The 13,659-nt window shown below is 46.4% G+C and overlaps 1 protein-coding gene across 2 annotated transcripts in view, besides 2 other annotated features; it reads left to right on the top strand.

Annotated features, from left to right (window-relative positions):
• Nucleotides 12,504-12,553: a silencer, noted in NCBI's record as "silent region_7220". NCBI's record gives its function as "represses an Ori minimal core promoter by ATAC-STARR-seq in GM12878 lymphoblastoid cells {active_cell/tissue: GM12878}" and the evidence as "EXISTENCE:reporter gene assay evidence [ECO:0000049][PMID:35858748]".
• CPPED1 (calcineurin like phosphoesterase domain containing 1) overlaps nucleotides 12,585-13,659 on the top strand; it is a 144,089-nt gene continuing 143,014 nt past the window's right edge. For both annotated transcript variants that reach the window (NM_001099455.2, NM_018340.3), the window contains exon 1: nucleotides 12,585-12,765. In NM_001099455.2, coding sequence (NP_001092925.1) covers nucleotides 12,696-12,765 — 70 coding nt within the window. In that variant the 5' untranslated portion in view covers nucleotides 12,585-12,695. The remainder of the gene's footprint in view (nucleotides 12,766-13,659) is intronic.
• Nucleotides 12,634-13,003: an enhancer, noted in NCBI's record as "active region_10480". NCBI's record gives its function as "activates an Ori minimal core promoter by ATAC-STARR-seq in GM12878 lymphoblastoid cells {active_cell/tissue: GM12878}" and the evidence as "EXISTENCE:reporter gene assay evidence [ECO:0000049][PMID:35858748]".

Here is a 13,659-nt window from a genome sequence, read left to right as displayed (position 1 = left end):
AATAGGACTCTGTATGAAAAGGTATGTATCCCAGTGCCCAGTGACTCAGCAGTGTATTGCATTTGTCTCCTCACACCAGCAGCAATAGGCTGTATTGTTCACTTGCCATTCACTTGACTCAGGTGCTTGGCTTATTTTATTTTATTCTTTTTTTTTTTTTTTTTTTTTTTGAGACAGAGTCTTACTCTATCACCCAGGCTGGAGTGCAGTGGCATGATCTCAGCTTACTGGAAGCTCCACCTCCCAGGTTCAAGTGAGTCTCCTGCTTTAGCCTCCCAAATACCTGGGATTACAGGTATGCGCCACCACGCCTGGCTAATTTTTTTTTTTTTTTTTTTTTTTTGTATTTTTAGTAGAGACAGGGCTTCAGCATATTGTCCAGGTTAATCTCGAACTCCTGACCTCAAGTGATCCACCCGCCTCGGCCTCCCAAAGTGCTGGGATTACAGGCATGAGCCACTGCGCCCAGCCAGTTGGCTTATTTTAGAGTGTGGACAAGCAGTTCTTCACCCTAGCTTCATATTAGGATCACCTGGGACATTGAAAGAGCAATGCTGAGGTCTCATCCAAAACTCATCCAATCAGAAATTCCCAGGGTGAAGTCTTGGAACGAATATGCTTCAAAAGCTCCCCAAGCGGTTCTAATGTGCAGCCCGGGTTGAGAACCACTAATTGAGACTAATATGTTCAGAGTCCCAAGAGAGAAAATCCAGAATCCTGTTGTTGGAGTGCCTCTGCGTACAGACCTTATAGTCCAGAATATTAAATGCTCAATAAAAAACCAAGCTAGTGCTTTGGGAAGATAAAAACCAGTAAGAGCTGACAGATTCAGACATGTGTTCCTTCTCTTAGGAAACAAAGCACAGTTATGATGTTAGCAAACACAGGATTTGGTTTCAATCAAACAGTGCCCAGCAGGGGGAAGATAGAGAAAGAAAATGAAACGCAGAAAGGGTTGCATGTATCAACAGTGTTTTCCGACAAAACTGGTGGCTTTCAATTTTGCCCTGGCCCCCAGTGACAAAAATGTCATCCTGAGAGGGCCAGAACAGACTACAGTTACTTTGCAAGAATATATGACAAACAGCAAGGCAAGAGGTGGGGGTTGAAGTATGTAAAATTCTGTTGTTGTTATTCATTGTAAACTCATCCAATACCAAGATTCATGGAGAAACTAAATGGAATTTGGAATCTGCCCTTGGGATTCTCAACATTAGTAAGTTTAACCGAGAAGCAAATTCCACTTTGATTAGGGTCTTTTTATTAAGGGCTTTGTATTCATTAAGGGCTTCCTATGTGTCAGGTCCTGTTCTGGACACTTGGTGTATTCTAATGGATACATAAGCCTTGGGGAGCTCATACCTCTGCAAAGAGCTTAAGTTGTACGGTCAATGCACAATTGAGTTCAGTGGAGTGGAGCTTTCAGGAATATTCTTATTCTTGTTGAAAAAGGGGGAAAAGTTCATTTCACAACCCAAGAGAACAATTGCAAAATATTTAAATGCTTCAGGAGGCTGGGTTCATTATTCAGATGAAAAAAAAATGAAGATTAGAAAGTTGGCCTGGCACGGTGGCTCATGCCTATAATCCCAGCACTTTGGGAGGCCGAGGCGGGTGGATTACCTGAGGTCAGGAATTTGAGAGCAGCCTGGCCAACATGATGAGACCCCGTCTTTACTAAGAATACAAAAAATTAGCCAGGCGTGGTGGTGGGTGCCTGTAATCCTGGCTACTTGGGATGCTGATGCAGGAGAATCGTTTGAACCTGGGAGGCGGAAGCTGCAGTGAGCCGAGATCGTGCCACTGCATCCAGCCTGGGCAACAAGTGCGAAACTCTGTCTTAAAAAAAAAAAAAAAAAAAAAAAAGGAGAAGAAGAAAAAAGTTAACAGTAAGCTCCACTATCATCCAGAAAGTAATTTACAAGGGAGTGTTAAGCAATATAGGGGAGGTAGAAAAGAAAGCCTAAATGGTAAGTTAAACTCAAGTTTCTGGATGAAAAATAGTTGGAACAATTAGTACTATCTGCTTCCAAGGCTGAGAACTGCATTTGAGAAGGTGAGCATACTTACGGCTGTTCTGTCCCACATGCCAGAGGTAGGCCATCGGACAGAAGAACCGAAGCAACAGGAAAGATTCACTGGCTACAGGTTATTCATGAATGTTCTGAATCAGCATTGTCCAATAGAAATTCTGCATCGATGGGAATGTTCCACATGTGTGCTGTCCAATATGGTAGATACTAGCCTACGGGTGCCAGATACAATATGAATGCTCAATTAAATTGGTATTTCAGATACACAAAATAATTTTTTTTTTTTGAGACAGAGCCTCACTCTGTCTCCCAGGCTGGAGGGCAGTAGCCTCATCACGACTCACTGCAGCCTTGACTTTCTGGGCTCAGATGATGCCCTCCCCTCAGCCTCCAGAGTAGCTGGAACTACAGGCATGTGCCACCATGCCCAGCTAATTTTTGTATTTTTTGTAGATATGGGGTCTTGCTATGTTGCCCAGGCTGGCCTCGAACTCCTGGGTTGACATGATCCTCTCCCTTGGCCTCCCAAAATGCTGGGATCCCAGATGTGAACCACCATGCCCAGCCCCCTTGTCACTTGGGAGGCTGAGGCAGGAGAATCACTTGAAAAAGCCCAGCGTGGTGGCTCACACCTGTAATCCCAACACTTTGGGAAGCCAAGTTGGGTGGATCACTTCAGGTCAGGAGTTCAAAACCAGCCTGACCAACATGGTGAAACCCCGTCTCTACTAAAAGTACAAAATTAGCCAGGCGTGGTGGGACATGCCTGTGATCTCAGCTACTTGGGAGGCTGAGGCAGGAGAATCCCTTGAACCTGGGAGCTGGGAGGCAGAGGTTGCAGTGAGCCGAGATTGCGCCATTGCACTCCAGCCTGGGCAACAGAGGGAGATTCCATCTAAAACAAAAAAAAAAAAAAGGAAGGAAGGAAGAAAGCGGCAGAGGAAGCAGTCAGATATGCATTTATCTCATATGAGCAGAGGGATGACTGAGTTATATCTGTCCTTTGTCCACAAGGAATTTCCTTGTGGGCAAATTGTGAGGGAGGTATGTAATGTTTTTATTTTTGTAGCTATCTTATTTAGGAATAAAATGGGAGGCAGTTTTGCCTGATGCTGTTCCCAGCCTGACTTTTCCCTTTGCCTTAGTGATTTTGGGGTCCCAAGACTGTATATACAGTCACATGCTGCATGGTATTTTGGTCAACAACCTAACACATATATTCACATATGATGGTAGTCCCATAATATTATAACACTGTGTTTTTACTTTACCTTTTCTATGTTTTGATGTGTTTAGATACACAAATACTTATCATTATGTTACACCTGCCTACAGTATTCAGCACAGAAGCATGGTGTGCAGGTGCATAGCCTAGGAGCCATAGGCTATACCACACCACCTAGGTGCATAGTAGGCAAGATCATCTAAGTCTGTGTAAGCACACTCTATGATATTCACACAATGATGAAATTGCCTAATGACATGTTTCTCAGAACTTATTCCTGCCGTTAAGTGATGCATGACTGTGTATAGATTGTCTAGAGAGAGAGATTGGCAAGTGCAAAATCTGCAAGGTGGTCCAGACGGCTGGGACCAGGAAGAGCTGATGCTGTGGTTCATGTCCAAAGAGGTCTGCTGGGTGAATTTTCTCTTGCTTAGAGAAGGTCAGTGTTTTGTTCATCCAGACCTTCAACTGACTGGATGCAGCCCACCCACATTATGGAGGGCAATCTGTTGCACTCCAAGTCCAAATGTAACTGTAGTAATGTAATATGTAAACACCCCTAGGCCAGGTGCGGTGGCTCACGCCTGTAATCCCAGCGCTTTGGGAGGCCAAGGTGGGCGTATCACTTGAGGTCAGGAATTCGAGACAAGCCTGGCCAACATGTTGAAACCCCATCTCTACTAAAAATACAAAAATTAGCCAGGTGTGGTGGCAGGCACCTGTAATCCCAGCTACTTGGGAGGCTGAGGCAGAAGAATCACTTGAACCTGGAGGGCGGAGGTTGCAGTGAGCTGAGATCGTGACATTGCACGCCAGCCTGGGCAACAGAGCGAGACTCCATCTCAAAAAAAAAAAAAAAAAAACCCAAAAAAACATTTCCATGGTGAGGCAGGAGAAGAGGGCCTGGAGGCAGGGAATCTAAGGACTTCCTAGAACTAAATCAAATGGAAACACTTCAGCTATAACAGGAAATATCCTCTTCATTTACATAGGGCATACACCATACAGCTAGTAAATGACTCTGTAACTTTACTTCATCTTCTTCATTTACATAGGGTGTATGCCAAGTAAGTAACTTTGTAACTTCACTTTAGCCTCTTCATTTACATAGGGCATACACAAAGTAATCAGTGGAAACCTCTAAAAGGTATTTAAACCCCAGAAAATTCTGTAACTGGGCTCTTGAGCCCGTATGCTCAGGCCCACTCCCACCCTGTGGAGTGTACTTTCATTTTCAATAAATCTCTGCTTTTGTTGCTTCATTCTTTCCTTGTTTGTGCATTTTGTCCAATTCTTTGTTCAAGATGCCAAGAACCTGGACACCCTCCACCATTAACAATGGCAACATTCAGAATAATGTTTGACCAAATATCTGAGCATTGTGGCCCAGCCAAGTCGACACATAAAATTAACCATCACACAGCCTAACCAGGAATGACAATACCCATCAAAGCAAGGCCCAAGTGCTTCTCTCTAAATGCGGCCTTACGCTCTTATGCCAAGCCTACTGGCTCCAATCCATAAACCAACCTGGCTCATAGTTTTAACAAGCTTTGTCATCCAGCTTCACAAACTGGGGCAGATGAGAAACAAGGGAAGGAGACAGACAGGACTTGCAAGAGACAGATGCAACAAAAAGCAAGGAGTGACTGCCCACAGGCTGGGAGCAAGGAGACAGAAGATCTATAAAAAGTGGACAGAAGAACTATAAAAGCTCAGCAGCCCAGAGTCCTTGAGTGTTAGGACAAATTGTTCTGCCTGCTTCAAGAAGTGAGGCTATTCTACAGCCCAGTACAGAAAATGATGTTCTTAATCTTATATCTAGGACTCTAAATAACAGCACATTTAGATTAGAGCTTTTTTTTTTTTTTTTTTTTTTGACAGAGTCTCGCTTTGTTGCCGAGCTGGAGTGCAATGGCACAATGTCAGCTCACTGCAACCTCCTCCTCCCAGGTTCAAGTGATTCTCCTGCCTCATCCTCCCAAGTGTCTGGGACTACAGGCACGTACCAACACACCCAGATAATTTTTGTATTTTTAGTAGAGATGGGGTTTCACCATGTTGGCCAGGATGGTCTCAATCTCTTGACCTTGTGATCCACTTGCCTCGGCCTCCCAAAATGCTGGGATTACAGGCGTGAGCCACCACGTAGATTAGGGCTTTTTACAAGTATAGCTGTTACAAGAAGTGGGAGGGAAGAAAAAGGGCAGTTTTTTTAAAGGGTGGAGAGCGGGGATGGTAGTCATTGGCCTTTGTGACTCCCCCACCCCCACCTCAACATTCACTCCTGCACGGGTTATGTAATGGATTACCTATTGGCTCTTTTTAACAATTGGTTCTTCCTTTCTTAGGACAATGGCGTCAAGATTTCATTTTAAGAGAATTGTGCTCCCCACTCTTAGGCATGTAACTAGGGTGAAATTGACACCATGCCTTCTTTAGGGTGGGCCTCATGACTGCAGCCAGTTTAAATATGCCATCTATCCTTCTAACTTTGGTTTTAAACTGGCATTGCAGTGATGCAGGGGATGTTTGCTGGAGGATTCAGAGGAAATAAAAGACACTTCCTTCCTCACCTCACTGGGTGGTGTCTCATGAGAATGTGGTCTAGAACTGCTGTAGCCATTCCGCTCCCATGAAGGAGGAGCCTGGAGCTTCCAAGTGATTGGGAGGAAGTCTTCTCTGTAGAGAGTGATGATAAAGCCAAAATTATAAAGGGCAGAGGATGTAACTGTCCAACAAGTTCTCCTTGTCTGCTGCCTGGGCAGAGCCAATTTATCAAGACAGGGGAATTGCAATAGAGAAAGTTTAATTCCCTCAGAGCTGGCTGTACCGGAGACCAGAATTTTATTACTCAAATCAGTCTCCTTGTGAATTTGGGGATCAGGTTTTTTAAGGATAATTTGGTGGTTAGTGGACCTGTGAGTCGGGAGTGCTGATTGGTTAGGTCAGAAATGAAATCATGGGGAGGCCAGGCGCTGTGGCTCACGCCTCTAATCCCAGCACTTTGGGAAGCAGAGGCAGGCAGATCATGAGGTCAGGAGATCAAGACCATCCTGGCTAACATGGTGAAACCCCATCTCTACTAAAAATACAAAAAATTAGCCAGGCGTGGTGGCAGGCACCTGTAGTCCCAGCTACTCGGGAGGCTGAGGCAGGAGAATGGCGTGAACTCGGGAGGCAGAGCTTGCAGTGAGCCGAGATCGCACCGCTGCACTACAGCCCGGGTGATGGAGCTAAACTCCGTCTCAGAAAAATAATAATAAAATAAAATAAAAATAGAAGAAATGAAATCATGGGGAAGTTGTCATCTTTGCACAAAGTCAGTGCCTGGGTGGGGGCCATAAGACTGTTACTGGAAAGGGGTCTCTATCCAGACGCCAAGGGAGGGTTCTTGGATCTCACACAAGGAAGAATTTGGGGCAAGTCCATACAGTAAAGTGAAAGCAAGTTTATTAAGAAAGTAAAGGAATAAAAGAATGGCTACTCTATCGGCAGAGCAGCCCTGAGGGTTGCTGGTTGCACATTTTTATGGTTATTTCTTGATTGTATGCTAAACAAGGGGTGGATTATTCATGAGTTTTCCAGGAAAGAGGTGGGGAATTCCTGGAAATGAGAGCTCCCCTTTTTAGACCATATAGGATAACTTCCTGATGTTGCCATGACATTTGTAAACTGTCACGGTGCTTGTGGGGTATCTCTTAGCATGCTAATGCATTATAATTAGTGTATAATGAGCAGCGAGGATGTCCAGAGGTTTGCTGTCATTGCCATCTTCATTTTGGCTGGCTTCTTTACTGTAACCTGTTTTATCAGCAAGGTCTTTGTTTTGTTTTGTTTTGTTTTTTTGAGATGGAGTCTTGCTCTGTCACCCAGGCTGGAGTGCAGTGGCATGATCTCGGCTCACTGCAACCTCCACCTCCCGGGTTCAAGTGCTTCTCCTGCCTCAGCCTCTCAAGTAGCTGGGATTACAGGCACCTGCTACCACACCTGGCTAATTTTTATATTTTTCATAGAGATGGGGTTTCTCCACGTTGGCCAGGCTAGTCTCAAACTCCTGATCTCAGGTGATCCGCCTGCCTTGGCCTCCCAAAGTGCTGGGATTATAGGCATGACCCACCGCGCCCAGCCTAGCAAGGTCTTTACGACTGTATCTTATGCCGACCTCCTAAGGTCCATCCTGTGACTTAGAATGCGTAACCTCTTGGGAATGCAGCACAGCAGGTCTCAGCCTTATTTTACCCATCCCCTATTCAAGATGGAGTCTCTCTGGTTCAAATGCCTCTGGCAAGACCAGGCTGGGCATGGTGGCTCACGCCTGTAATCCCAGCACTTTGGGAGGCCGAGGCAGGTGGACCACTTGAGGTCAGCAGTTGAAGACCGGCCTGACCAACATGGTAAAACTCTGTCTCTACTAAAACTACAAAATTAGCCTAGCATGGTGGCATGCACCTGTAATCCCAGCTACTTGGGAGGCTTAGGCAGGAGAATCACTTGAACCCCGGAGGCAAAGGTTGCAGTGAGCCAAGATCACACCACTGCACTCCAGCCTGGGCGACAAGAGCAAAACTCTGTCTCAAAAAAGAAAAAAAGTGTGAACCCCAAATGTCTGAGACAGTTCTCAGACAATTTAGGAAGTTTACTTTGCCAAAGTTAAGGATGTGCACCCATGACATAGCCTTGGGAGGTCCTGATGACACGTGCCAAGGTGGTCGGGGCACAGCTTGGTTTTATACATTCTAGGGAGGCATGAGACATCAATCAATATATGTAAGATGTACATTGGTTCCGTCTGGAAAGGCGAGACAACCCGAAGTGGGGAGGGGGCTTCCAGGTCACAGGTAGATAAGAGACAAAAGGTGGCTGGGCACGGTGGCTCATGCCTGTAATCCCAGGACTTTGGGAGACTGAGGCGGGCAGATCACCTGAGGTCAGGAGTTCAAGACCAGCCTGGCCAACACGGCAAAACCCCGTCTCTACTAAAAATACAAAAATTAGCTGGGCGTGGTGGCAGATGCCTGTAACCCCAGCTACCTAGGAGACTGAGGGAGGAGAATCGCTTGAACCTGGGAGGCAGAGGTTGCAGTGAGCAGAGATCATGCCACTGCACTCCAGCCTGGGCAACACAGCAAGACTCTGTCTCGGGGGAATAAAAAAAAAAAAAGGTTGCATTCTTTCCAGTTTCTGATTAGCTTTTCCAGAGGAGGCAGTCAGAAATGCATTTATCTCAGTGAGCAGAGGGATAACTTTGAGTTCTGTCTGTCCTTTGTCTACAAGGAAATTCCTTCTGAGCGACGTACGTAGCTTTTTTATCTTAGTAGGTTTTTTTTTTTTTTTTTTTGAGACAGTTTCCTTCTGTCACCCAGGCTGGAGCGCAGTGGCACAATCTCAGCTCACTGCAACCTCCGTCTTGTGGTTTGAAGCGATTCTCCTGCCTCAACCTCCCGAGTAGCTGGGATTATAGGCATGCACCACTACAACTGGCTAGTTTTTGTATTTTTAGTACAGATGGATGTCTCACCATGTTGGCCAGGCTGGTCTCAAACTCCTGACCTCAAGTGATCCTCCTGCCTCGGCCTCCCAAAGTGCTGGGATAACAGGTGTAAGCCACTGTACCCAGCCTTAGTAGCTGTCTGTTTCAGCAATAGAGTGGGAGGCAGGTTTGCCCTAAGCAGCTCCCAGCCTGACTTTTCCCCTTGGCTTAGTGATTTTGGGGTCTCAATATTTATTTTCCTTTCACAATTGCAGCTATTGCTATCATCCAATGCACTGGTACAGTTTTGAAGTTGCTCCAGATTGGCCTATAGATCTATTCCCAATTGCTGCTGAGGTTCAAAATATGGTTATCTTGTTGAGATATTCATAATCCATTTATTTATTAATGCAACAAACATTTAGTGTCTATGCCTCAGGCATCCTGCTTGGTGAGCTAGACAGTCAAGGTAACTGCCCTCAGCTGGGCGTGGCGGCTCATGCTTGTAATCCTAACACTTTGGGAGGCTGAGGCAGGAGGATCACTTGAGGCCAGGAGTTCAAGACCAGCCTGGATAACAGTGAGACACCATCTTTATAAATAATAATTTTTTTTTTGAGACAGAGTCTCACTTCGTCACTCAGGCTAGAGTGCAGTGGCACGATCTTGGCCCACTGCAACCTCCGCCTCCCAGGTTCAAGTGATTCTCCTGCCTTAGCCTCCCAAGTAGCTGGGATTACAGGCGTGCTCCCATGCCTACCTAATTTTTATATTTTCAGTACAGATGGGGTTTCACCATGTTGGCCAGACTGGTCTCGATCTCCTGACCTCAAATGATCTGCCTGCCTTGGCCTCCCAAAGTGCTGGGATTACAGGCGTGAGACACTGTGCCCGGCCAAAACAGTAAATTTTTTAAAAAGGTAACCAACTTAATAGACCTTATAGTTGAGTCGGGAAAGTCAACATTAAATAAATAATTACACCTGAAAACATATAATTATCAACTGTGCAAAGTGCAACAAGGGACAAGAACATAGTGCTCTAACAAAGAATGAGGGAGGCCTAGTTTAGATCAGCAAAGTGTGCAAATGGGTAGGGCATGGCCTCTCCACAGAAGTGTTATTTAACTGCAGGCCTTCATGTTCAAATGGGCTTTAGCTCAGCAGGGGAAGATACTTTTTTGTTTGTTTGTTCGTTTTTCAGACAGAGTCTTGCTCTTTCACCAGGCTGGAGTGCAGTGGCGCGATCTCAGCTCACTGCAACCTCCGCCTCCCGGGTTCAAGCAATTCTCCTGCCTCAGCCTCCCGAGTAGCTGGGATTAAAGGCACGCGCCACCACATCTGGCTAATTTTTGTATTTTTAGTAGAGACAGGGTTTTACCATGTTGGCCAGGATGGTCTTGATCTCTTGACCTCGTGATCCACCTGCCTTGGCCTCCCAAAATGCTGGGATTATAGGCATGAGCCACGGTGCCCAGCTGGGAAGAGGCATTTTAAGCAGAAAGAACTGCATATGCAGAGAGGGAAATTAATTTGCATGTTTAATGAACTGAATGGCCAGTATGACTGCAAAGCTAGTGAATAAGAGGCAGGGTCTGTTTCTATAATTCATTCTCTCCTTCACATTTCTTTTAATTAAAAAAAATTTTTTAATAGAGATGAGTTCTCACTATGTTGCTCAGGCTGGTCTTGAACTCCTGGGCTCAAGTAATCCTCCTGCCTAAACCTCCCAAAATGCTGGGATTACAAGCATGAGCCATTGTGCTCAGCTTCCCCTTCACATTTTTTTTTTTTAAAGACACAGTCTCACTCTGTCGCTCAGGCTGGAGTGCAGCGGCGGGATCTCGGCTCACTGCAACCTCTGCCTCTCGGGTTCAAGTGATTCTCCTGCCTTAGCATCCCGAGTAGCTGGGACTACAGGCGTGCACCACCACACCCAGCTAATTTTTGTATTTTTAGTTGAGATGAGGTTTCACCATGTTGGCGAGGGTGGTCCCGATCTGTAGACCTCATGATCCGCCACCTCCACCTCCCAAAGTGCTGGCATTACAGGCCTGAACCATTGCGCCCGGCCTCCTTCACATTTCTTGGGACTCCTCCTCTGGGCCAGGCCATGTTCAGGGAATAGGGTTATAGTGATTGATTAATAATAACAATGGCTAATATTCATTGAGTACCTACCATTTGTTATTAGAACTATTATTCTAAGCACTTTGATACATGAACTCATTTAAGCCTTTCTGCAACCCTATGACCTAGATGCTACTATTGTTTCCATTTCACAGATAGGGAAACTGAGGCATAGAGAAACTATGCAATTTTCAAGAGCATACAACCAGTAAGTGGGTAGAACCGGGATTAATCCAAGCCCACTGACTCCAGGACTCATAGGCATTTATACTCTTAACCACTATGATTCATGGGTGACTCTTGTCAAGGATTAGAGAACAGTAGTTATGGCCATATTAGCTACTCAAACAGTGCTTTGGATGTAGGCAGCTAGTTTAGAAAAGAATTTCCCAAATTTGTAAGATCATAAGAGCTCCCCTGCAGTGCTTGTTAAAAACAGATCATTTTCAGGCCAGGCACTGTGGCTCATGCCTGTAATCCTAGCACTCTAGGAGGCCCGGGTGGGTGGATTGCTTGAGCTCAGGAGTTCCAGATCAGCCTGGGCAACATAGTCAAACTCGTCTCTACTAAAAATACAAAGTATTAGCCAGGCATGGTGGCGCACGCCAATAGTGCCAGCCACTTAGGAGGCTGAGGTGGGAGAATCACCTGAGCCCAGGAGATCGAGACTGCAGAGATTGTGCCACTGCACTCCAGCCTAGGCAACCAGAGTGAGACCCTGTCTCAAAACAACAACAACAACAACAAAACACAGATCATTTTCATAGAGATTTGGATTCAATAGGTCCATTCTGGAATTTGTATTTTCAACACGTTTGACAAATGCTGGCTAAGTAGTTCACTACAATGGCTCTTGAGTTGAAGAGACACTAATTTGGTTACTCGCAGCTTTACTACCTCTCTAGATGTGTGTCACCTTGTGCAAGTTCGTTCATCTCTCTGAGCGTCAGTTTCCCCAAATGACGGATGCAGCTAATAACAGCACCACCTCCTAGGGCTGTAGTGGGGATTAAGTGAGCAGCGTGCAAAGTGCTTAGCGCCCTGCCTGGTGCATAGCAAGCAAAGATAATAACAGAAAGATGGTGGCAGCCACTGGGAAGTTCAGGCTGAGACAGTCTTCCAAGACGTCCACCTTTTCATCTTTTTTTTTTTTTTTTTTGTATTGGCAAGGTCTCTCGCCGTGTTGCCCAGGCTGGTCTCCAACACCTGGACTCAAGCGATCCTCCCTCCTTGGCCTCCCAAAGAGCTGGGGTTACAGGCGTAAGCCACCCCAGTGGCTCCTTCTGACTTTATGATAGAGTTGTCAGATAAAAAAAAATCAGGACGCTTCCATTCAAACCTGCAAAAAGAGAAAAATTTAAAAAAATTAGGACGCCCAGTTCAATTGGAATTTCAGATAATGAAAAAAAAATTTAACGTAAGTAGCTCCCAAATACTGCATAGGACATATTTATACCAAGTCAGTCATTCTTTAAAAAAAAAAATCTGAAATTCCAATTTAACCGGGAGTCCTGCATTTTTACTTGTTAAATCTAGTAACTCTGCCTTTAGGGAAGGACTGACCCCAAAGCCTTATCCCCGCCCACGCGTGCCCTAGACAGTCTCCACTCGCCAGGCGCGCAGGTCGATCCCAGAGGGGCCGCTGGCGCCTCCGCTCCGCCCAGGCAGCACTAGTGGCGCCCCGAGCCACCGGGCCCCTCCCCGTCCCGCCCCAGTCCCGCCCCGAGATCAAAGGGCGTCGCCCAAAGCGGGACAGGTCCAGCGGTTGTTCTGTGTGAAGTCGCGCGGCTTCCACCCACGCAGTGTTCTAAGTGAAGGCCAGAAACTCGCTCGCCATGTCGGCTGCAGAGGCGGGGGGTGTTTTCCACAGAGCCAGGGGCAGGACCCTGGCCGCGTTTCCCGCAGGTACTGCCCGCCCCTCACCCGGGGAGGGGACTCTGGGGCTGCGGAACCTTCCGCCGGGGGAACCTTTTGTTCAGGTGTGCGCTCCGCCAGTCGGACACCATCCGGGGCTGCACCGGGGCCTGGGAGCCGCCATAGCTGCATCAAAGCCTGCTCTTAGGGATTCCAGGGGCGCAGTTGAGAGGCGAGGCCGAGAGAGCGATCTGGTCTAGGAGCCTCCTTGGCCTTGACCTAACTTCCCCCAGAGAAGGGAAGTAAGAGGAGGGTAGCAAAGCATAGTTAATGACAGCTTGGACTCTGCAGCGAGACCTGGTTTCCAAGCTGTGCATTAGCATCTTGGCCTCAGCTTCCACATCTGTGAAACGGGAATACTTGTGGGTGTTACTGGATAAGCGTTCGGTGCATGTTAGAGGGTGTCGGTTTTATTAAGGTTGTTCACCGTTATGTATTCTGTACTCCATAATGACGTTTATTTAAGTCATTCACCGAAATGGTAACACTGCCCCATCAGAGCAGTAGAGAGGGAGGGCATTCGAGAGTCGTAGTGAAGTGCTTGGATTTTGGATTTAGATTATCTGCTTTGCCTTAAAAATGGGTTTGATAATACCTGCCTCATAGGGTTGTTGGAAGCGTAAACAGATCAAAAGTATTTTTGTAACCCGGTGTTGGACGCATGCTAGGTGCTAAGTAAAGAGGGAGGTTTGTTTCTGGTTTGTTGATTCCCCTCTGTGGCTTTTTGCTGCCTGCAGCCAGATCGCCTCCCAGGCTCTCACCAGCTTTATACCCCCAGGGAAGTCACCCTAAATGCCCTATATGATCAGGCTTGTGTCCACTTCCTTCAGGGTTGTCATTCTCTCTCTTGCCCAGTTCTGCAACAGGTTTTGTTGTTGCCCTTGT

Source organism: Homo sapiens, chromosome 16 (assembly GCF_000001405.40).
Source record: "Homo sapiens chromosome 16, GRCh38.p14 Primary Assembly".
Taxonomy (NCBI): Eukaryota; Metazoa; Chordata; class Mammalia; order Primates; family Hominidae; genus Homo; species Homo sapiens.
Note: the sequence above shows the minus strand (reverse complement) of the source record. Positions and strands in the feature narration are given on the sequence as shown.